General features: G+C 40.4%; 1 protein-coding gene across 9 annotated transcripts in view; it reads right to left on the bottom strand.

Annotated features, from left to right (window-relative positions):
- The window catches only part of IL31RA (interleukin 31 receptor A), an 83,062-nt gene that overhangs the window by 55,119 nt on the left and 3,583 nt on the right, over positions 1–24,360 (bottom strand). For 3 of the 9 annotated variants that reach the window (NM_139017.7, NM_001242637.2, NM_001297570.3), the window contains exons 1-2: positions 16,099–16,375; positions 8,133–8,223 (exon numbers count right to left, since the gene is read on the bottom strand). In NM_139017.7, coding sequence (NP_620586.3) covers positions 8,133–8,223; positions 16,099–16,161 — 154 coding nt within the window. In that variant the 5' untranslated portion in view covers positions 16,162–16,375. Of the gene's footprint in view, positions 1–977; positions 1,122–8,132; positions 8,224–14,164; positions 14,411–15,419; positions 15,538–16,098; positions 16,376–24,360 lie in introns of those variants that run through there. The other 6 variants (NM_001242638.2, NM_001242639.2, NM_001242636.2 and 3 more) reach the window with 6 other exon arrangements.

The raw sequence follows: 24,360 nt of genomic DNA, 5'->3' as shown, positions 1-24,360 counted from the left end.
AGGCCTCCCCAGCCATTGGAACTGTAAGTCTAATTAAACCTCTTTTTCTTCCCAGTCTCGCGTATGTCTTTATCAGCAGCGTGAAAATGGACTAATACAAATATGAAATACTATTATCACTATTTCTGAATTAAGGTAATTATTAATATTAGACCTAAATTAAGGCAATTATTAGGTCTTCTTATTTAATGTGTTAATAAAGAAGACCACATATTACCAGATCACAAATTTGTTTCTTTAATATTTTGATGATTTCATTAATATTTTGATGATTTCATTTCAGTATATTTTGGTATCTTTGTAATGCTATTTATTTTATTTGTGCATTTACAAACATTGTTTTGAGAATCAGCCCATAGACTTCACTAGATGACCAAGGGGTTGATCCTAAACATACACACACACACACACACGCACACACACACACGCACACACACACATGCACACACACATGCACACACACGCACACAAACACACGCACACACAAACACACACACAAACACACACACAAACACACATGCGCACACACACAAACACACACAAACACACATGCACACACACATGCACACACACAAACACACATGCACACACACATGCACACACACACAAACACACACATGCACACACACACAAACACACACACACAAACACACATGCACAACTAAGAACTAAGAGCAATTTTAGACTAAGGGCCATGTTCAGCTCTGAGGCTTATACTAACTTCTTTGTTGAGCCTCTGGAAAGATCATAGTCTTAAGAAGCAGGCATTTTTGTGAGAGGAGGGCAACTTCTTAAATTACCTTTATATATCAAAGGAAGGTCTAGCGCTTCCTAGGAAGGCAGTCTCTACCAGACAAGAAGTAGGAAAAAGCTGATCACTTCTAACAAGTAAATATGGGGGCAGGGATGGGGAGGGAATGAAAGGAAGGTAAAGCAAAGAATTCTGATGTCAGTGTTCTTGATAGAGCGGTACAAACATGCGGATGGGTCCCATGCACCAAGGTCATCTGGCTGGTAGCCTATTTCACCAGGTACAGCAAGTCCGGGGGAGGTTGCCAGGCTGTAGTCTAGCAGGATTCCTCAACCGCTGGGCAAGGTACGGGTCCATGGCCTGTTAGGAACTGGGCCACACAGCAGGAGGTGAGCAGCAGGTGAGCGAGCATTACCGCCTGAGCTCCCCGCCCCCACCCCTACCCCTGCCTCAGAACAGCAGCAGCATTAGATTCTCATAGGAGCTGAACCCTACTGTGAACTGTGCTTGTGAGGGATCTAGGTTGCTCACTCCTTATGAGAATCTAACTAATGCCTGATGATATGAGGTAGAACGGTTTCATCCTGAAACCATCCCCCAACTCCCAACCCCACCCCCTGTCCATGGAAAAATTGTCTTCCATGAAACCGGTCCCTGGTGCCAAAAAGGCTAGGGACCACTAGTCTAGGGGAAGCCTCATGTTCCACTAAGCACCAACTCTATGGTGGCATGGAAGTCCTAACAATGTGCTGGCAGAGGGTGGCCTGGTGCAGCTCCTCATGTGAGCTCTATGCAGGTGAATGTAGCACACAGGGATCCAGAAATTTCCCTGTGCCCTCAAAGTCAGGGGCGAGGATACAGCTGTGAGACGGGACCAGGCCTGGGATGAGGATGAAGCAGCTTCCATTCACAGAGGAACTTCAGGACCATGGACAAACAACTGGAGCATAAGCTGTGGCCCAAAGCACAGGCAAAGCCAGCTGCCCCATGGCAGATGGCAGAGGGGGATCAGACCACACCAGACAGTTCAGGGAAGACAGAGGGCAACACAAGGACTTATTCCCACGCATCCAAGTCTGCAGTCACATAAGCCTTGCTCATATATTCAGACACAATCTTAAGGAGGAGCAGAGGGCAAGGCAGGAACCCCAAAGAGACTGAGCTAGCCAAAGACATCTTAAACCAGAAGAAATGACACAACGTTAACAAATTTAAGTGCTACCCACACCCTCCTCTTTCTCACCCTTGCCTGACTTTCCAGTGGTAAGGGGACTTTAGAAAATGACTCGTTTGATCATAGAAAATAGGGATGTTCCATTTCTCTGCACATCTGAATAATATTATATATATTTCAACTCTGTCAGAGGTATTACCCTATAACAAGAAGGTGGTGTAAAGGGGTTCCAGAATGGGTAGCATTCATTGTTTTGTTTTGTTTAGGTTTGGGATTTTAAAAGGGTTGTAAATGTGTGTGTTTGTATATACATTCATGTATTTGGTCTATGAACTGAGCATTGTCTACATGGGTAAAGGAGCCACTGAGAATGACAAATGAGGGTGAGGGAGAGCTAGATGGCTTCCTGTTGTGTCAACTTTTCTCGCTCTCTCCAGAGAAGCTGCCTTCCTCCTAGTCCTGCACATGAGCCAGGCACCCACAGCACGCATCCAACAAGCAGTTCAAAGGCTTTCTATCTTTGCTACTTGCATGCTGAAAACCATGAGGAAGCCAGTGATCTCCAGATCCAAATGCTTAAAAAGACCAAAGTTAACTGGATCTGAATCAAATAATACTGCATGTTACATAGAGATTGAAAGCTACACCATTAACACATTTCTCAAAGAGCCCACGCAGCTTGGAACCCTCCCTGAGGACTTTTGGGGTCAGCAAACAGAATGTTAACAAACCTCATGCCTCCCAACTGTCAGGAGGAAGTGCAAAGTCCTACAAGAGGTGAACCAAGGGTTAGCTTGCAACACCCAGGAGGAATAACTCACACACTGTCCCACTCACTCCCTGTCTCCATGGCTCAGAGATAAGGGCAGTGCGTGTACAGTGCATGTGTGTGTATGGGGTGTGTGTGTAGTGTGCGGTGTGTATGTCATGTGTAAAATGTGTGTGGGGTATGTGTGTGATGTGTGTGGTATGTGTAGTATGTGTGCATAGTATATGTGTGAATGGTGTGTGTGTAGAGTGTGTGTGGTATGTGTGTAGTGTGTATGTGTACGTGGTGTGTGTGTAGTGTGTGCAGGGTATGTGTGGTGTATGTGTGGTATGTGTGTAGTATGTGTGATGTGTTTATAATGCATATATAGTGTGTGTCCGCTGGAGCGTGTTGGTGTGTGCGTGTGGTCTGTGTGTGTGTGGTGTGTATGGTATGTTTATGGTGTGTGTGATGTGTTTGTGTGGTATGTGTGACATATGTGTGGTGTGTGTAGTGTGTGTGATGTGTTTATAGTGTGTGTGTAGTGTGGTGTGTGTAGTATGATTATGATGTGTGCATGGTGTGTATGATGTATATGTGCAGTATGTGTGGTGTGTGTGTGTAGTGTGGGGTGTGTGGTATGTTTGTGGTGTGTGCGTGGTGTGTGTGATGTATATGTGTGGTGTGTGTGTAGTGTGTGTGGTGTGTGTGTGTGTGTAGTGTGGTGTGTGTGATGTATATGTGTGGTGTGTGTGTGTGTGTGTGTGTCTGTGTGTATATATGTGGATCTATCCTCAGTCTCTGGCCAAGTTTCTTACAAATATTCACAAAAGGGTAGGCTGCCGCACCCCCATTTCGCTCATACTCGTCACACTAACTCGCCGGAGGATTTCAAAGTTGATTCTTGGCCAGAGAACAAGGAAACAAGAAGCCTTTCCCCATTTCCCCAGAATAGTCTTAGTCTTATATTATTCTCATTACGGCCTCCTGCAGTCATATTTTATTTTATTTCCTTTTCATTCTTGCTCTCCCTTGCGTTGGTTGAATCCAAAGCCAGCCACCAAGATATCAATGGAGGAATAGATCCTTGTGGATCTAAATACACTCCAGTCAAACCTAAGTGAATCCTGCTCTTTCCTGTTCTTCCTTAAATACCTCTCCTAAGCTTCTTCAAAAGCTTTGGTTAACATATATGAGAAGCCATAAGCTAAAAAGAGAGTTAAATATCTGTTTTTCAGAACCGTTAAGTGTCACCAGGTGTCAATGATTTTTGGAGCCACCAGGAGAAGAGTAAGTGGTTCCAAAAATGATTTTCCGCTCAACCCAGGCTGTTCTTATGAGACTACATTTGTTTTTCCCTTACTGGTTGGCACATGGTAAGAGAGAACAATAGTCTTACAAAGGCTCTCTTGATATTGGTGTTACAGAAGAGATTTGTGGTAGATAAAATGAATGCTCACCAATATTTCCAGTGCTCATCAATAGGGTGGCCATGGGATTTGCCTTGGCCTTTGCCATGTGAGAGGAAGCGTCCAAGTGATGGCGCATGACTCTCTTTTCTCTCCTCCTCCTGTTACTGCACGCCTTGAAAACGGATGCTGACATGGTGTGTGTGAGGATAGCAGAGCCCCACCAGCCTGAGCCCCTGCTTACCTGTGATGGACATGTAGTTTGCTGTTTTAAATACTAATATTTTAGGCTTGTTTATTATTACAGCATAAACAACTCTCCCTGACTAATACCTAAATAGCCTGTTCTCTCCAGTATTCTCAGACTTGGAGGAGGAATTTAACAATAGCTTTCCCTAGTTTTGTGTCCTCATGACATTTTAATTCTGCATATGAGGATTTTAGATTCATTTTATCACAGATTAGGGGGTTGAGGGAAACTGGAATAAAATTGAACCAAATCAACAATGTTAGACTTCACTTCTACTTTCTAGATTTTCTTTACCTTTTCCAGTTTCAGTTATCTGGAGTGATTCCACATAGCTGAACGACCTTGGCTGTATGTACTAGAACTGCCTTGGCTGGCAGAGCCTACACATCTGTTGTCCTGCCTTCCTCCTTGTTGGCAATCAGTGTGCCTATTTTAAGTCTTATTCAATTCTCCCTCAGAAGATTGTCACAAACATGGGTAAAATTGTGATGCACAATGAAGAACACTTCACCTCTGTTGCCTTTTTCCCCCTAAACCCAGAAATACTTGTCAGTACTCCTTAAGACTGCCACGGTCATGAATAGTAAGGAAAGACTAAGGACCTGTAACAGACCGGCAGAGACCAAGGAGACATGACAATTCAACGCAATGTGGTACCCTAAATTGGATCCTGGAATAGGAAGAAGTCATTCAGGCTGAGCATAGTGGCTCACACCTGTAATCCCAGCACTTTGGGAGGCCAAGATGGGCGGATCACGAGTTCAGGAGTTGGAGACCAGCCGGGCCAACATGGTGAAACCCCATCTCTACTAAAAATACAAAAATTAGCCAGGCATGGTGGCACACGCCTATAATCCTATCTACTCAGGAAGCTGAGGCAGGAGAATTGCTTGAACCCAGGAGGCAGAGGTTGCAGTGAGCTGAGATTGCACCACTGAACTCCACTCCAGCCAGGGCGACAGAGCGAGACTCCGTCTCAGAAAAAAAAATTAAAAATAAAGTAGAAAGAAGTCATTCATGGAAAAACTAGTGAAATCCAAATAAAATTTGGAATTTAGTCAATAGTAATGTGCCAAAATCAATTTCTTAGTTTTGGCAAATTTTTATTGTATTATAAGATAGTAACAATGGATAAACTGGATGAGGGTAGAAAGGAACTCTCTATGCTATTTTCACAGTTTTTCTATAAATCTAAAATTAGTCAAAATAGAATTTTTATTTTATAAATACAAACAACTGAAGGTTAGGCTTGCTGGTCACTCCCATCTTTCTTTCCCTATTCCCTCAAAATACGAACCATAGCAATATTCCCCTATTTCTAGAAATAAGGGGAAAAACATTCATCACTTCCTCTAAGAAAAATTGGGAGAATGTTCTTGCTTATCAGAGAATTTCCCATACGCAAGAGGAACATTTTCCAAAATTATAGAGATGTTCTCCATCTCCCTCCTTCCCTCTATACTCATATCACTTTGGTGCTGTTGCAAAGTCAGTGTTTTGAAAAATATCTTGACATAGAAGAGCAAGGCTGAGCAGGACCAAGGGAAGGATATTCTAGATGAAAAGAATGGTGGATATTGGAGCCAGTTTTGTAGGAGCTGGTATATGTACAACATAGGAAGAGTGGAAAACAGAGATAGAAGACAGAAAAAGACAAGTGGAGGGAAAGGGTGACTTGATAGGAGCCACAGTGTCTGTAATTAGAAGTTTAGATTAGATAACTGGGAGCAATTGCTGATGAGAGGGAGAGCAATAGTCCTGCCTGCCTGTATCATCTATTTTCTATCACAGCAGTCCCCTACATTTTGGCACCAGGGACCAGTTTTGTGGAAGATAATTTTTCCATGGACCTGGGGTACGGATGGTTTCGGGATGAAACTGTTTCACCTCAGATCATCAGGCATTAGATTATCATAAGGAGCACACAACCTATTAATAGATCCCTCATATGCACAGTTCACAATAGGGTTCGTGCTCCCATGAGAATCTCATGCCGCTGCTGATTTGACAGGAGGCGGAGCTCAGGCAGTAACTCTGGCTCACCAGCAGCTCATCTCCTGCTGTGTGGCCCAGTTCCTAACATGGTCTGCAGCCTGGGGGTTGGGGACCCCTGGTCTATCAAGCTCCTGAGTGCCACAGGTGTAACCCCAAGGGGCTAAGGCAGGCCATGCCAGGACAGAAGTCTGAAGGCATTCTCATTATCTCTGGGTCATGACTGCCCTCTTGGTGACCCCAATTAGTACATGTTATAGGCTAAATTATGTCTCTCCAAAATTCACATAATGAAGTCCTAACCCCCAGTACCTCAAAATGTGATTATATTTGGAGATAGAGCACTTGAAGAGGTAATTAAGTTAAAATGGGACCATTATGATGGGCCCTAATCCAATCTGACTGGCATCCTTAGGAGGAGGAGAGACACCAGGGTTGTGTGGGCACAGAGGGATGACCATGTGAAGAGGCAGCAAAAGGAAGGCCACCTGCAAACCAGCCCTGCTGCCACCTTGACACTGGACTTCCAGCCTCCAGAACCGTGAGAAAATAAATTTCTGTTGCTTAAGCCACCCAGTCTGAGGTATTTTGTTATGGCAGCCCAAGCACACGAATACGCTACATGACGCCTTCCCCACCTTCCCACTACCAGACCAGTGTCTCTGCTCTTAATATTGTTTTAAACTTAAGATATAATCAAACAAATGGATCTTAGATCTACAAGCTATTGTATGGATATCAGGCCTGTAGTCTTGAGTTGGAACACTATAGAAATGTTGTTTCATTATTTCCCTTTATGGCAAATAGTATGAAAACTGCTTATTTTTGTATTTATGTATGTGTATTATATGAAGCCATAACAACAACACAAAAACTATGGAGATAAGCACTTCCTATTATAGTAGTTCCCTCTTATCTATGGTTTTACTTTCTGTAGTTTCAGTTACTAGTGATCAACGCCATCTGAAAATGGGTGAGTGCAGTACAATGAGATATTTAGAGAGAGAGAGACCACATTCACATAACATTTTTTTTTTTTTTGAGACAAGGTCTTGCTCTGGCCCAGGCTGGAGTGCCGTGGCACAATCTAGGCTCACTGCAACCTCCGCCTCCCAGGTTCAAGTGATCTTCCCACCTCAGCCTCCCAAGTAGCTGGGATTACAAGCGTGAGCCACCATACTCGGTTAATTTTTGTATTTTTAGTAGAGACGGGGTTTTACCATGTTGGTCAGGCTGCTCTCGAACTCCTGACCTCAAAAAATCTGCCCGCCTCAGCCTCCCAAAGTGCTGGGATTACAGGCATGAGCCACTGTGCCAGACCTCACCTAACTTTTATTATAGTAAATTGTTTTAATGGCTCCATTTTATTATTAGTTATTGTTTTAATCTCTTCATGCCTAAATGTACCTAAACTTCATCATAGGTATATATGTGAAGGAAAAATGTACTATATATAGGGTTTGGTACTATCCACAGTTTCAGGCATCCACTGAGGATCTTGGAACATATTCCCCCACAGATAAGGAGAGACTACTATATTCTAAAACAGTAGATCTCAGCATTTTGGGGGTTGTATCTCCCTTTGAAAATATGGTAAGCCATCTTGCCACATTTGCACATGCATGAGTATATGTGAAATTGCATGCATGTGTGCACACACAGACACACACACAAATTCAGGGTGTTCACAAGTCCCCTTTTCTATCTGTGGATGTCCATAATCCAGGTGTCGCTTTAAAGTTAACAACTCTTGTCCAAAGAAGGCAATAATAATCACATGATCTGTAAAAGGGCCCAGGTCAACCTACCTGCCAGGCTGAATTTGCAGAGTGAGGGGAGCATCCACAGTGCCCAGGTCCACATCATCCCCAGGTTAACACATGAAGGCTGGGGAGAGAGCTGAAAATGACATCAGTCAAGAGTTGGTTTGCTTCATATCTCTTTTCAAAAGCTCTATTTCCAATGGCAAATAGATTCTGGGGATTTTGGAAGGAGGAAGGATCCTATTTTATTTTATTTGTTGACTATCATCACCTAGATCCTTCATAATTACTCCATCAACCCCAGTCAACATTTTAAAGATTTGCAATTACAACACGTTTTCCTTTCGTCCATCGTCTACTCCACTATGTCTTATGAAAAGTATACCAACTACCAAGAATGTGCTCCAGAAAAAAAAATGAGTATGTGCAGCTATGAGGCCATCCTCTGGCCCTTGCCTCAGTGCCTAGGCCCTCCAGCCAAATGGAACAACTCACAGTTTTGCCAAGCACCACGCTATCTCACATCTCCATGCTCTATGCATGCCCACAGTGCTCCTTTCCCCTTATTTCTGACAAATTAATCACCTTTCCAGACTCATTTCAAGGCTCTCCTTCCCTAAGACGCCCTCTCTGAATTCCCGCATGGAGATGCCAGTTGGTCCCTCCTTTGTGCCCCATGCCCCACTATATCATGTGTCCTACAGCATCTGCCACAAGAATGGTGGTCAGCAATTTACCTGACGGCTTCCCTACATACAGGGACCTTCTTAAGAGTGGAACCTCTCTTCTTCCTCTTTGAAGCCTTGGTATCTAAGGCAGTGCCTGGTACCTGGTAGACAATACTGTTTGTGGCATTTACTTGTTTATTGGAACAAAAAGAATGCTGGCTCTTCATCTCATCTAAGATGAAATGGTGGGATAGTCTAAGAATAAAGCAAATGTAAAACCAGTAATTCATTTCAGGAAGAAATAAATGATGTTACATTTTCATCTGCCAGATCATTATAGAAAAAAAAAAGAAAAGGGTTCTTTACAAAATAAGTTACTTTAGAAAAATGTGCATGCAGGATTTCTGGAGAAAATTAGAGGGATAACATTTTCTCACATATGAACCAACTGAAATCCTTAGCGAATTGGAACTGCCTAAGATAATAAAGATAGCCATTTTGATTTAAATGGGTATATAACTCAAAGGGAAACATTTCAATTTTTCAATGAAGAAAAAAGGTGTCTTTAAAAATAACTATAACACTAAGAACATTCTTTTTGTGTCTAATTATTCAGAATGTTGTCTTAATCTTCTCCATCTGTTAAGAAGAAGACACGCCTTTAGTCCTAGCTCACATTATTTACAAGTCCTAAAAGCACATTAAAAAGGAAGGCTATGAAAGCCAAGATGCTGGCAGTCTTAATAAGTGAATCAATGAATAATAATAGATGCTAAAACTAAAATTGCTATTCTGACAAGCGGTTTTGCATTTAAAATCCTATCAATATTAAATGTTGAATAAAATATTAAAATATTTTTAAGTTAATGGTAATTATTGCTTGACTCCTTTACAATAAAAATACTCAGCTATTATTTGTGAAATTTAAAAAAAAAACCTTAGAAAAAAATCAGCAGTACTAAATCATCCCAGAGACAAAACTGGAAAAGTTACAGTAGTTGAAAAGTGTAGCATTCTAGAAATTGAGACTGCCTGAGTTGTGGTCCTGGCCCTCTCACAAACAAACTGGTGACCTCAGGCATTCTTCTATGTGTTCAGCACTGTCCCAGCCATGTGTTAGGTGGTTGGAATCAAAGAAGAGCACATCTCTGACCTCAAAGAGCTCATATTCTAGTTCAGTGATTTTTAACAAAGGGAAGGGAGAAAAGGATGGAGAGGATAGCAGGAATATTTTTGGAAACTACCAATTTCAGAGTGAACTGCTGTTACTGAGGACTCTCATGTCATATTTCTGCAGTAGGTTTGAACAGAAATGGGTTAAGAACCACTGGTCCACTTGCAGAGACAGAAGCCTGGATAGTAGTCTCATATATCACATAGTAAGTATAGTTACAATAGTGAAATGAGCGCAAAGAGCATCTAAAAAGAGAAATGAGCTAATGACTGTGGGAAGTCAACAAGCCTTGCCATTAGGATGAAATCTCTCATTCTAATACTTGCTTGTCCTCCACAGCCTTTCCCACATTCTCCTCTCACCACAAAAAGGACTGCTTGCTGGTAAAAAATGTGAACAAAGGCTGGGCGCAGTGGCTCACAACATGTAATCCCAAGACTTTGGGAGGCTGAGGTGGGCGGATCACTTGAGGTCAGGAGTTCAAGACCAGCCTGAGCAACATGGTGATACCCCATCTCTACAAAACACACAATAAAATCAGCCGGGTATGGTGGCATGTGCCTGTAGTCTCAGCTATTTGGGAGGCTAAGATGGGAGGCTGGCTTGAGCCTGGGAGGTTGAGGCTGCAGTGAACTGTGATCTCATGACTGCACTTCAGCCTGGGTGACAGAGCCAGATGCTGTCTCAAAAAAGAAAAAAAAAAAATGCAAAAAGGTGAGATGCCTCCCAGGGGCTTAGAAATAAGTCCAGTAGAGAGTTCAAGGTGATCCTGGTTATCTGTGGTGGGTAGATGTGCAGTTGATAAGCTTGAGTTCATTCAGGACTCCAGCCAAAGAAACCTGTGTATAATCTCAAAGAGTTGGATTTGGAAAACCTTCATTATCATTTAGTTGCGGGAATCTACTCAACTAATTGTATCCTAAACAGAAGACTTTGAGGAAAGAAAGGAGAGGTCACCTTAGAATGTAAAATATTGATGGTTAAAAAAGACAGAAGTTGGCAGTTTTTATCCAGTACTATCTACGAAAGGAAATTATGAAATTTCCTGTCACTGGAGCGAAAGACTCTGACAGGGCAGCCACAAGACCTCACCATGAACCTGATGAAAGATACTTCAAAACCCCGAATCTCCCTTTCTGATTGCTCTGATTCTCTGATGCCCTCTCTGATTACTAATTTAACGGAAGAAGGCCCTGAACAAAGAATATGAGCCTTCCAGGCATTAGAAAGACTATTTCTTATTGGTTTCAATATATCAGTCTCTTGAAGACTTAAATGAGGTGAATCAGCCTCCCCAAATCTGGGCCATAAGAAATTCCCAAAGATTCTGCTGTGCTCTTGAGGAGAGCCATCAATCATTTCCTGCATCCCTGGGTCATCAGCCTTAACTTTGAAATGCAGCAGTTTTGAATAACTGGTCTTCAAAAAGGGGTCATTTCCTAGAAACAATCTCACATTGGTGGGATCTCATTTGAGTACAGCATTTAGCAGAGCTCTATAAAATCTTCCAACAACACTACAAATATGCCATATTGAACTAAAAGACTCTTAGAATATACAGTGATGCCACTTAAGTAACTAGTGGTGTCCTATGCTTAAAGATGTTGGCCAGGCGTGGTGGCTCATGCCTGTAATCCCAGCACTTTGGGAGGCCAAGGCAGGCAGATCACTTGAGGTCAGAAGTTTGAGACCAGCCTGGCCAGTATGGCAAAACCCCATCTGAACGAAAAATACAAAAATTAGCTGGGCAAGGTAGCCCAAACTTGTAATCCTAGCTACTCAGGAGGCTAAGGCAGGAGAATTGCTTGAACTCAAAAGGCAGAGGTTACAGTGAGCAGAGGTTGTGCCACTGCACCCCAGCCTGGGTTACAGACCAAGGCTCCATCTTAAAACAAACAAACAAACAACAACAAAACCAACAACAAAAGAGATGTAAACCTAGTAGCAGCTACTGTTTGGAGTAGAACGACTGCAAACAAATCTAAGCACTTATTACTGACTACCAGCAGTGGCTGGGAACACAGCGAGAAGAAAGCAAAGATGGAAGCTACTGCCTCTGCTGGGAAACGCTACACATTTCAGCATGTTAAATTATCCCTGCCTCCCCACATCCTGTCTCACAGGACCAAAGCAAAGGAAATAGAGTGTGGCTGTTTTACTCCCACGCAATCCCCCATAAAATGGATACTTCACAGGGTGCTCTTTGGCCATTCAGCTCCCACTCAAGGCTGTGTCCTGGGTGCTGAGCTTCATCTCATTTCACTTGTACAAGAATGTACCACTACGTGATTTTCCCAGGGCTTGCCTTCCTTTGGTTCATTCATTCATACATTCACTCAGCTACTATTTGTTGATTCTCATTCTGTGCCAAACACTATCTCCTGCAGTATAGAACTGGGTTTTTAAAGAATGGCAAACCAGGAGTTCAAGACTAGTCTGGGCAACATAGCAAGACTCTGTCTCTAAAAATATATATATATATATATTTTAAATTATCTGAGTGTCATGGTGCACACCTGTAGTCCTAGCTACACAGGAGGTTGAGGTGGGACAATGCTTGGGCCCAGGAGTTTGAAGCTGCAATGAGCTATGATCACACCACTGCACTCCAGCCTGGGCAGCAGAGTGAGACTGTCTCAAATAAAAAAATAAAAAATGGCAAAGAAGAGGGAGTAACTTCTAGGGCCAGCACTATGGCCATAAGTTCAAGCACCTGCAGACTCATAACACTGAGAGGGAGGTAGTCAAGCGATGCACTGCTCAGCCTCTCTCAGTGCCTCAGAATTCCTCAAGACCCACAGGACTTGGTTTATACTTTCACTGATCAAGTAGAAGGGTGCCCTGTTCTCAGTCTCTTTTAAATGTTTATTTGGAGCTTGCAGTAATGATAATAGTCGCAGTAATAATGGCCTTAGATTTACAAGCACTTTCATGTATACTATCTCCTTAGATTCTTGTCACCCTTCAGGTAAATGAGACAGATATTTTTATATTTTCTATTTATATATTTTATATTTATAGTTGCATATTTTATATTTTATTTCTTTTTTTTTTTCTGGAGACGGGGTCTCACTCTGTGACCCAGACTGGAGTGCAGTGGTGCAGTCTCGGTTCACTGCAACCTCTGCCTCGCGGGTTCAAGTGATTCTCCTGCCTCAGCCTCCCAAGTAGCTGGGACTACAGGTGCCTGCCAACAGGCCCAGGTAATTTTTGTATTTTTAGTAGAGACAGAGTTTCGCCATGTTGGCCAGGCTGGTCTCAAACTTCTGACCTCAGGTGATCCACCTGCCTCGACCTCCCAAAGTGGTGGGATTACAGGTGTGAGCCACTTTGCCCGGCCTGCATATTTTAAATTTTATTTCTATATTATGTTTTAGGTTAAATCAAATGAAATTGCTATTTTTATTAAGTCAAAAACAGTTAAATCTTGGCAATTTCAGCCTAATAAAATAATGACATCCTTACTTTTTGGATGAGGATATTGATTATATATACATTGCCCAAGATGAGATTGCGAGCTGTCAGATGACTACCTCCAGTTTCAAAGTCTATAAATCCATTTGGGTTGTGGGCTGCCTTCATTTAAAGAACATTCTGAGACAGCCAGTAGTGAGACTGGCAAAAGCACTATCATGTTGGAACAGTGACAGCCTGCAAAGTGCTAACTACACTATACAAATTACATCCTGTACTTCTAAAAATCCGTGTAGGGTTTGTATTACTCATCTCTAGTTTACGGATATGGAATCTGAGGCCAAGAGATATCATGTAAATTGTCCAAAAATAATAGTTTGTAAGCAGCATAAATGAGATTCAAACTCACGACTGTCTTATTCCAAACCTGGACTCTTTCCACTAAAATCATGTGGTAGCTATTAGTGATTTACTCTCTCTCAGCTCTCCTGCCATGAAATACCAGTACACACAAGGATTTTCCTCTGAATCCTCTAGGTCTAATTTTCTCTAGCCTAGAGTTTCCTGAAAGATAAATCCATTATTTCAGATATTTTCCCCAATCCTTCACCTCTAACACTCATGATTCTCCATTCTGATCTCAGCATTTTAAAATATTGCCTGCCAAAAGATTAGATTCCCTTAACTATCAACAACCAGTTCAAGGAGAAATTCACGTGGTGGGTCTGACCCATAATTTCACTGAAGAAAACAGAAAAAGACTTTTATAAAGTAGAAAAAGATGATCAAACTATCACTCTTCTAAATGAATTAGCACTCACCTTCATGTATCAGGGGATGTTCCACAGATGTTCTGCTGGCTCAAAGGATTTGCATCAAAGGCAACTCCACCTCCCACAGCACAAGTCAGGACAGGAAGAACAATCTGGACTTTAATTTATCCACACTAAGATGTGGGAGTGTTTCCACTCTGATTGTCTGCGAGCTTTTCTTGTGCTTTTAAGCCCAGCCCAAGTCAAAGTGGCACTTACCCACTTATGCTGGGAAATGGATTGCATTATTGTTAACTAAAAACAAAAGCAAAAACAAAAACACTCAACTCTACAAAAAAAAAGGATCATCTGAAAGACCAGAAACAACTAAAAGAAGTGACTAACTTTTAAATTTTCTCTTCAGGAAGTCCTTACAAATGTGGTAATAGCTGAAACAGTGAGAGTATCTTTAGCTTGAAATGAGAAATACGCAATCATGTTAACTGTCTTTAGACAATGAAGGAGATGAAGGAAAGAAAATAATGGTAGCTGACTCCAAAAAGAGGCTTACAAATTCTTATTTACGTCTAAAGGAAAACATACTGAACTGAGAAACCAGAGCTTCAGTTTAGCCACTAGTAATAATCATCATTAATAATTTGTGGAGCTCTTACTGTGTGTCAGGCATAGTACTAAGAACTTCACATTAATTATCTCTTTTAATCTTCACAACAATCCTATAACATCAGGAGTATTTTTATTCCCACTTTATAGGCAAGGAAACTGAGGTCAAAACAGTAAGCAACATGTCCTACATGGGTGGTGGAGCCAAGACTTGAACCAAGGCAGCCTGACTCTCAGTTTCCTAGCAATCAAAGGTTCAAATTAGATTATTTCTAGGATCCCTTCTAGTACCACAATTTTGCAACCGTTTGTAATGGACTGACAAAACCACGAGAAATAAATAGACCGGGGAAGAGATTATGATGCAAAAGGAAAGAAAACTAAGTTTTAAAACAAGCTATGCTTTCCAGCCCCACATTTTAATTTTTAACCCATTCCCCATCTTCCTTAGGCAATGTTCCACTAAGTAGGAGGAATAAGGGTGAGAAAGAGAGCTAGTCTTTTACCTAGAAGATTATAATTATGAGATATTTAAAATTCCAGCCAGGCGTGGTGGCTCACGCCTGTAATCCCAGCACTTTGGGAGGCTGAGGCAGGTGGATCACCTGATGTCAGGAGTTTGAGACCAGCCTGACCAACATGGCAAAACCCCATCTCTACTAAAAATACAAAAAAATTAGTCAGGCATGGTGGCAGGCACCTGTAATCCCAGCTACTCGGGAGGCTGAGGCAGGAGAATCGCTTGAACCCGGGAGGCAGAGGTTGCAGTGAGCCAAGATCGTGCCATTGTACTCCAACCTGGCGACAAGAGTGAAACTCTGTCTCAAAAAATAAATAAAATAAAATAAAATAAAATTCCATTATAATATACTATAGAGAAAAGCTAAATGCTAGCACAAAAATAGCAAGCATTTCTTGAATTTATTCAACCAATACTTAGTAAACACCTATTACATGCATAACAGCTCACTAAAGGTGTTGTGTATTAAATAGAATTCTGGTTAAGACAAGACCAATTGAGCATATACATTTATCTCTACTCTCTCAGGAAACTCCACAAAAATTATGGCAAAGATATAGAACCACAAGACAAAACAAATGGGAAGAGGCAACAGCAAATAAGAGATGTCAACAAATCTTTGGAAAAAGAGAAATGAATCAAGCCATAACTGAACTGGTAAAGATGAGAAAGCAGAAACCTAGAAATGCCTAATAAGGTTGCCAACAATAAGCAAACATAATTATGCCACGGAATCTCATACGGCTCAGGATTTGAGACACTAGGTAGGTAAAATCAACCCTCATTACTCACAGCTTCCTTATTTGTGAATTCACCTACTTGCTAGGAATTATTTGTAACCCCCCAAATCAATACTCACAATGTTTTGCGGACATTCACAGACACATGCCGTGGTGAAAAACTTGAGTTGCCTGATGCACATTCCCAGCTGAGGTGGAACAAGCTGACACTCTGCCTTCCTGTCTCAATTTTCATACTGCACACACATGTCTTTTCATGGTCTATTTAGTGCCATGCTGGTTATTACTATTTTTTTTTGCAATTTTTTGCCTTTTATGAGTGATTTTGCTGTTTCGAATGCCCCCCAAGCAGAGTGCTGGAGTGCTGTCTGGTGTTCCTAAGCAGAAGGAGGCTGTGCCTCATGGAGAAAATATGTGTGTTAAATAAGCTCTATTCAGGCATGAGTCATAGTACTGTTATTAGCCATGAGTTCAATGTTGATGAATCAACAATGTATATTAAATAAGGTGTCTTTAAACAGAAACACACACAAAACAAGGTTATGTATTGATTAGCTGACAAAAATGTTGTGACCAGAGGCTCACAGGCACCTAACTCTATATTTCCCCCACAGAGAATAATTCAGTATTTTCTTTTTTTCTTTTTTTTTTTCTTCTGAGACAGAGTTTCGCTCTTGTTGCTTAGGCTGGAGTGCAATTGCGCCATCTCAGCTCACCGCAACCTCCACCTCCCGGGTTGAAGTGATTCTCCTGCCTCAGGCCAGCCTCCCATGTAGCTGGGATTACAGGCATGCGCCACCAAGCCCAGCTGATTTTGTATTTTTAGTAGAGACGGGGTTTCTCCATGTTGTTCAGGCTGGTCTCAAACTCCTGACCTCAGGTGATCCACCTGCCTCGGCCTCCCAAAGTGCTGGGATTACAGGCATGAGCCACCACGCTCAGCAGTATTTTCTAATTCAGTGTTTGTGGCGATTTTATTGAACATAATTGCCAGGAATAATGAAGGAATAATGAGAATTGACTATACCTCTGAAACAAAAATCATAAGATTGGTTGAAAATCTGAAAAAGAAATAGACTACCTAATCCTAACCCCACAAAGCCAAATTCATTAAATTTCTCCCATCCCAACAGCAGATGGGGGGAAAAAACTTGAAAGAAAGGCAATGCAGAAAGCAGAATATTTTTTAAAAGAAATATTAGTTAAACCTTCATAGAAAATAAGAAAAAATGTTGTACCCACAAAATATGAATAGGATGCTATGATAAAGGCATAATTAGAGAACAAGAACTCTTGGAGATTCAAAATATGAGAGCTGAAGTCTAAAGACTAGAAAATAAAGTTGAGGAAATCTTCCAGAAGATAGAAGAAAAGACAAAGAGATGAAGAATAGCCAACATCTGACTACCAGCAGTACAGAAGCACAGAACAGAGGAATGGAGGGAAAGAAATAATGAGAGAAGTGATACAATAAAATTCCCAAGAATTGAGGAACATTTGTTTCCAGATTGAAAGGGCCCACTGTAAACAGCATAATAAATGAAAATAAATCTACACTGAAGTACAAAACAGTGAAGTTTCAGAATATCAAGAATAAACAGAAAAAAAATGTTTCCAGATAGGAAAAAAATAAGTCACATACAAAGGATCAAGGATGAGAATGGCTTTAGACTTAATAACAAAACCAGAAGTTAGAAAGCAATGGATCAATTCCTTTATAACTCTATTGGAAAATTATTTCTCACCTAGGATGCTCTACCCATCCAAATGATCCATCAGAAAGAAAGGTAAAACAACGTTCTTGAAACTGCATTTTCCAACATGCCAAGTTTCAAGAACTTTATCTCCCATGTGACCATTTTCGAGATGTTATTGAAAAAAGTGACTACAAAAACAAGAGCATAAGCCAAAACAAAAAGGAAAAATGGGCTCCCAAAAACAGCAAATTTCAAATAGAAGAGAGAGAATTCCAAGAATGGTGGCCAAGGGAGATCCCAAGATGATAAGAGTACAACAGGCTTGGAGAGCAACTAGCCCAAGTGAGTGGCAGACGCCAGGCTCAAGGAGGGATATTTCCAATGAAAAAATACATGGAGGGGACCCAATGGATCTGACAGATGTTGAAACTTGAAAAGTTTTGCAGCACTCTTAGAAAGTTTGGAGAAGGATGAGTAATCGGCTCAGTAAGTTAAGGAAACCAAAAAATGGCATAATTATTAATTCCAGGAAAAAGAAAATGTTATATAAGAAAATATATTTAAAGTCCAATATGTGGCTCAGCTATGAATAACTATAGAGTCACAACAATGAAAACATTAATGGATTTAACAAAAGTTATAACTATATTGAAAGAATGGGGTTAGGAAAGGATGCACATATGTGTGTGTTTGTGTATAGAATTGGTAAGAGACTTCAGTCTTTATCTTCCATAGTTAGTAAGAAGTCAATAGATAATGTCTAAAATTGAAAAAAAAATTAAATTGCAGTATAAACATGTTCTTTATAGATATGGAAATAAACCCCAGAAAAAAAAAAAGCTAAAAGAAATGAAAGTGATTTTTTCTGTGAAGAAAGTTTGGCAATGGGAAGGGATATAGCACTGTATTGCTGTTATTCGTGGTAAGTCTTAGAGTGCCACTTGAATGTTTAAACTATGTATATGTATTACTTTGATAAAATGTAAAATTATATTTTAAAAGTGAATTAATAGGTGAATTAACAAGTGCTCTCCCCATGAAGGGAAATAGATGTCATTCTCAGTCTGACACCTCAACCATTTCCTCCTAGGAGGAGCAATGTGATTTGTTGGGTGGTTAGAGAGTCTAGATGAGAGGTCTTTTGTTTACTTGTTTCATTTTTTTCTTTCTTTATTCCTTGTTTGTTTTGAAAATAAGAAAGTCATAGAAAGAGAGTTCTAAGATAGATAAATGGATTGACGGATGGATAGTGTTTCCCATTTGAAGTGGGCTTTGAGTTGCAGCCCCTGAGGCAGCCCCCCCATCTCACACCTTGTTAGTGGAAAACATAGTAAAAGCATTTTAGATGCCTTTAATCCGGGAATTCCACTTTTAGATATTTATCTAAAAGAAATAATCATGGAGTTTTCCAGAGATATAACATCAAGGATGGTCATCATGGCAATGCTTATAAAAACCAAAACAGATAAATTGTAATTTGTTTTAAAACCCAGAGCTTTTTGGAGAAAAGGTTGATTTCAGGACTTGGGCAACGAAAATACAAAATGTGCCTGGAGTATCTTGTAGTACCAGATAGTAAGGAAATGTTGAAAAAGCAAAAGGATAGAGCATGTCAAAGGGACACAGGAACCAATCTGAAAGAACTTCCAGCCAAAGCCAGAACAATTTGAGCAAAAAAGTGAATAATGTATACTGGATTATAATTCAAAGTATAAAATAAATATACATTACTTCATATTAATATTAATAAATGATTGCATAAATAAATGTGGAAGAAGAGACTAATTTTCCTTATAGAAAAATTCTAAGTGATCTGTAGATACTGCTATCTTTAAGAAGTGAATGAAGTTTAATTCCCTCTCTTCTCCCACCTTCAGGGTATGCTAGACTTGATGACTCACTTCCAAAGAACAGAGTTGGGAAAGACAAAAAGCGTATTTTACAGTGGAGAAACCTGGCAAACACTACCTTAACCAATTAATGAAAGTTAGCATCACCAGTGATGTTATATAGATATAACCAATCCCTGATATAATGTGACAAGAAAGGTATTTCATCTTTGTGGTTTCTTTCCAAAAACCCACAAGCCCAGTCTAGTAATGAGGAAAACATCAGAAAAACCCAAGTTTGAGGACATTTTACAGAATATCTAGTCAACACTCTTCAAAACCATCAGGGTCATGAAAACCAAGGAAAGACTGAGAAACTGTCACAGACCAGAGGAGATTGGAAAGATATGATGACTCAATGTAATATGGTAGCTTGCATTGGATCCTGGAACAGAAAAAGGACATTAATGGAAAAACTGGTGAAATCCAAATAGAAGCCTAGAGTTTGGCTAATAGTAATGTACCATTCATGATCTGGTTTTTAGTTTTGACAAATGTACCATAATAATATAAAATGTTGCCAATGGGGAAAACAGTAAGGGGTATTCAGGAACTCTGCATTATCTTTGCAACTTTTTTTGGCGGGGGACAGAGTCTTGCTGTGTCACCCAGGCTGGAGTGTAGTGGTGCGATCTTGGCTCACTGCAACTTCCGCCTCCTGGGTTCAAGTGATTCTCCTGTCTCAGCCTCCAGAATAGCTGGGATTACAGGAGTGCACCACCACGCCCACCTAATTTTTGTATTTTTAGTAGAGACAGGGTTTCACCATGGTGGCCAGGCTGGTCTTCAAGTAATCCATCGGCCTTGGCTTCCCAAAGTGCTGGGATTACAGGTGTGAGCCACTGCGCCCAGCCCTATCTTTGCAACTTTTCTTTTCTTTTTATTTATTTATTTATTTATTTATTTATTTATTTATTTATTTTTATTTTTTTTTTTTTTTCTGTTGCCCAGGCTGGAGTGCAGTGGCATGATCTCGGCTCACCACAACCTCCACCTCCCGGGTTCAAGTGATTCTCCTGCCTCAGCCTCTCAAGTAGCTGGGACTACAGGTGCACACCACCATGCCCAGCTAATTTTTGTATTTTTAGTAGAGATGGGATTTCACTATGTTGGCCAGGCTGGTCTCAAACTCCTGACCTCATGATCCACCTGCCTCAGCCTCCCAAAGTGCTGGGATTACAGGTGTGAGCCACCATGTCTGGCTAACAACTTTTCTATAAATCTAAATTTATTCCAAAATAAAAAGTTTATTTTTAAATTCCAGAAAGTATAATAGGGCACCTGCTTGAGCACACAGGTTTACCCAGAGTACTGGTATTAGTGTTCAAAATCAGAGAATATTTTGTAACATCATAAAATATAGATTCTTTTTTCCAAGATGGAGTCTTGCTCTGTCACCCAGGCTGGAGTGCAGTGGCATGATCTTGGCTCACTGAACTTTGCCCGGGTTCAAGCGAGTCTCCTGTTTCAGCCTCCCAAGTAGCTGAGATTACAGGCGCACGACACCAAGCTTGGCTAATTTTTGTATTTTTAGTAGAGACGGAGTTTCACCATGTTGGCCAGGCTGGTCTCGAACTCCTGACCTCGTGATCCGCCCACCTCAGAATTTTAAAGCTAGAAGGAGACTTAGAAATGAGTCTGCACCCTTCACTTTTATAGATGAGAAAACTCAGTCTCTGATTTGCCCAAGGTAACATCATTAGCAGCAGAGCCAAGATTAGAATTTATCCAGGTCTTAACATTCCCAGTTAAAATGTACAGAAATATTATGGGGTCAATTCCTATTTTGGAAAGGCAGAGAACCAAACAATACGCATCAGAATATAAAAGTTAAGAAATCATTATGCCTTCAATATTTACAGCTGGGACTTCCAGGTTCTGGTTCCCCATGTAAGGAGCTTAAATGGCATAAATCTGTCCTAACAACAAGTAAAAAGCTAAACAAACTGAAAATCAACAATTCTTCTTAGATCCATCAGAGAAGTGAGGTCACAGGACAAACCACTGTCCCCAAAATTGGAGAGACAGACAGGTGGATATACAGAGAATCACAGCTCCCCAGAACACAAACTCATTTCCACAGGAACCAGTACCAGGGTAGGAAAACCTGAATTATCATTGTTAAATCACTCAAGGCTCAGTGTGGACAAGTATAAGAGTCAAAAACTCCAGGGAGCCCGAGTCATAAAGAGGCCCTCATACTTTGTGAGTTTTACCTACAGGAGCTCGTATAAGAACCACCAAATTCTCATAGCAAAGATTAGAGAAAAATAGCAGGTAGCAGAGGGACAGAGGGGAGTAACCATTTTGAAATATACTAGAGCATTTCGTTCTTCTTAACAAGGCCTGCTGTATTAGTCCGTTCTCACACTGCTATGAAGAAACACCCGAGACTGGGTAATTTATAATGGAAAGAGGTTTCCTTTATAAATTCCACATGGCTCAGGGAGGTCTCAGGAAACTTACAATCATGGCGGAAGGAAAAGGAGAAGTAGGCACCTTCTTCACAGGGCAACAGGATGGAATGGGTGCAAGTAGGAGAAATGCCAGACACTTAAAAAACCGTGAGATCCCATGTGACTCACTCATTATCATGAGAACAGCGTGGGGGAAATAGCCCCCATGTTCCAATTACCTCCATCTGGTCCTGCCCTTGACGTGGGGATTACAAGGATTACAATTCAAGACGAGATTTTGGGTGGGGACACAGCCAAACCATATCACCTGCCCTCAAGAGCCTAACCTAATGGGAAAGAAAATACCCCACTACAGCCCTCTCTTGCCATCCTGTACCACCTAAGTGAAATCCACCTGTACCACAATTAACACAATTTGTGAAGTTCACAGTCCAGAGGCACAGGCTCACTAAAAGACTGAGACCTAATCATAGGGCTGTCAAACACTTCCTCTCCCTTCACATCTTGTCATGACCTCACTAAAGGTCTGTTTACCCCAGTTCCTTTTACCTGGTACATCATGTTCACCTTTCAACAAAATGTTATAAGGCATACTAAAAGGCAAAAAACACAGTTTAAAGAGACAAAGCAAGCATCACAACCAGACCCTGATATGGTATGGATGTTAAAATTATCAGACTATAAATATAAAATAACTATGATTAATATGCTAAGGGTGAGTGGAAAAAGTAGACAATTTGCAAGAACAGATGGATATCTTAAGCACAGAATGGAAATTCTAAGGAAGCATAAAAAAGAGATGCTAGAGGTTAAAAACACTAACAAAAATGAAGAATGCCTTTATTGGGGTCACAGGTAGACTGGACATAGCTGAAGAAATAATTTCTGAGCTTGAGGATTTGACAATGGAAACTTGCAAAGTGGAAAAGCAAAGAGAAAAAAACTAAAAATAAATAAACAATAGTATCTAAGAATTTCAGGACAACTGCAAAGGTGTAACATACTCATAATGGGAATACCAGAAAGGGAAGAAGGAAAAAAGAACAGACACAATATTTAAAGCAGTAAAAACAGAGACTTTCCCAAATTAACATCAGAAAACAAACCAAGGATCCAATAAACTCAGAGAACACCAAGTGAGATAAATTCCAGAAAAACTACACCTAGGTATATCATTAAAACTGTAGAAAATGAAAAGTAAAATGACTGTTTTTCACTTACACATAAACTATATTAATCAGATACATTGTTATAATTATTATTACTTTGAACAAACTTATCTGTTAGGTCAACTCACAATAAGAAAAATAGAAGTGTTTCTTTTACCTTCACTTATTTCTTCTGTGATCTCTTCCTTTCCTTATGTAGATCTGAGTTTCTGACTCATATTATTTACTTCTCTTGGAAGAACTTTTAACATTTCTTGCAAGGCAGGTCTACCGGCAACAAATTATCTCAATTTTTGTCCGAGAGTTTTTATTCCTCCCTCACTTTGAAGGATAATTTTATAGGATAAACAATTCTAGGTTGGTGGGGGTTTTTTTCTCTTAACACTTTAAATATTTCATTCTACTTTCATCTTCCTTATATGATTTCTGAGGAGACATTGGATGTAATTCTTTTGTGCCTTTATAGGAAAGGTGGTTTATTTTCCCCTCTGGCTCCCCAACATCACACAATATACCATGTAACAAACTGGCACATGTACCCCATGATTCTAAAATAAAAGTTGAAATTACAAATAAATAAAGTAAAAAAAAATTCATGAATTAGCAATGGCCATGCTAGCACCAAATATATACCAAACACTTCAATAAAGAAAGCTGCAGAAGGAAGATTGCATTTTACATACACAAACAAAAGGAAACAAAAGAAACCAACTTTAAATATAAAGACACATATAGATTAAATATAAATGGATAGAGAAAGAGATATCATGCTAACACTAATCAAAAGAAAGTTGAAGTAGCTGCCTTAATTTCAGAAACAGCAGACTTCAGAGCAAGAAAAGTTATCAGGGATAAAGAGGGACATTATATAATGGTAAAGGGGCCAATTCTCCAAGAAGACATAACAGTCCTTAATTTGTATGCATCTACCAACAGAGCATCAAAATACATAAGGCAAAAACTGACAGAACTACAATGGGAAATAGAAGAATCCACTATGATAGTGAAGATATTGACACCCCTGTATTGGAAATGGACAAACCCAGTAGGCAGAAAATCAGCAACTACATAGTTGAACTCAAAATTCATAGCTGCAGAATATCATTATCTTCATTCTTTAAATAAGAGCAGGAACTCACTGGCAATATGTAAGATCTGCCACAGAGAACTTAACAGGGAGTGGAGGACATATTTCCCACCACTGACTGC

The sequence above is a fragment of the Homo sapiens genome, chromosome 5 (assembly GCF_000001405.40).
Source record: "Homo sapiens chromosome 5, GRCh38.p14 Primary Assembly".
NCBI lineage: Eukaryota > Metazoa > Chordata > Mammalia > Primates > Hominidae > Homo > Homo sapiens.
This window is presented reverse-complemented; position numbering and strand designations above follow the sequence as displayed.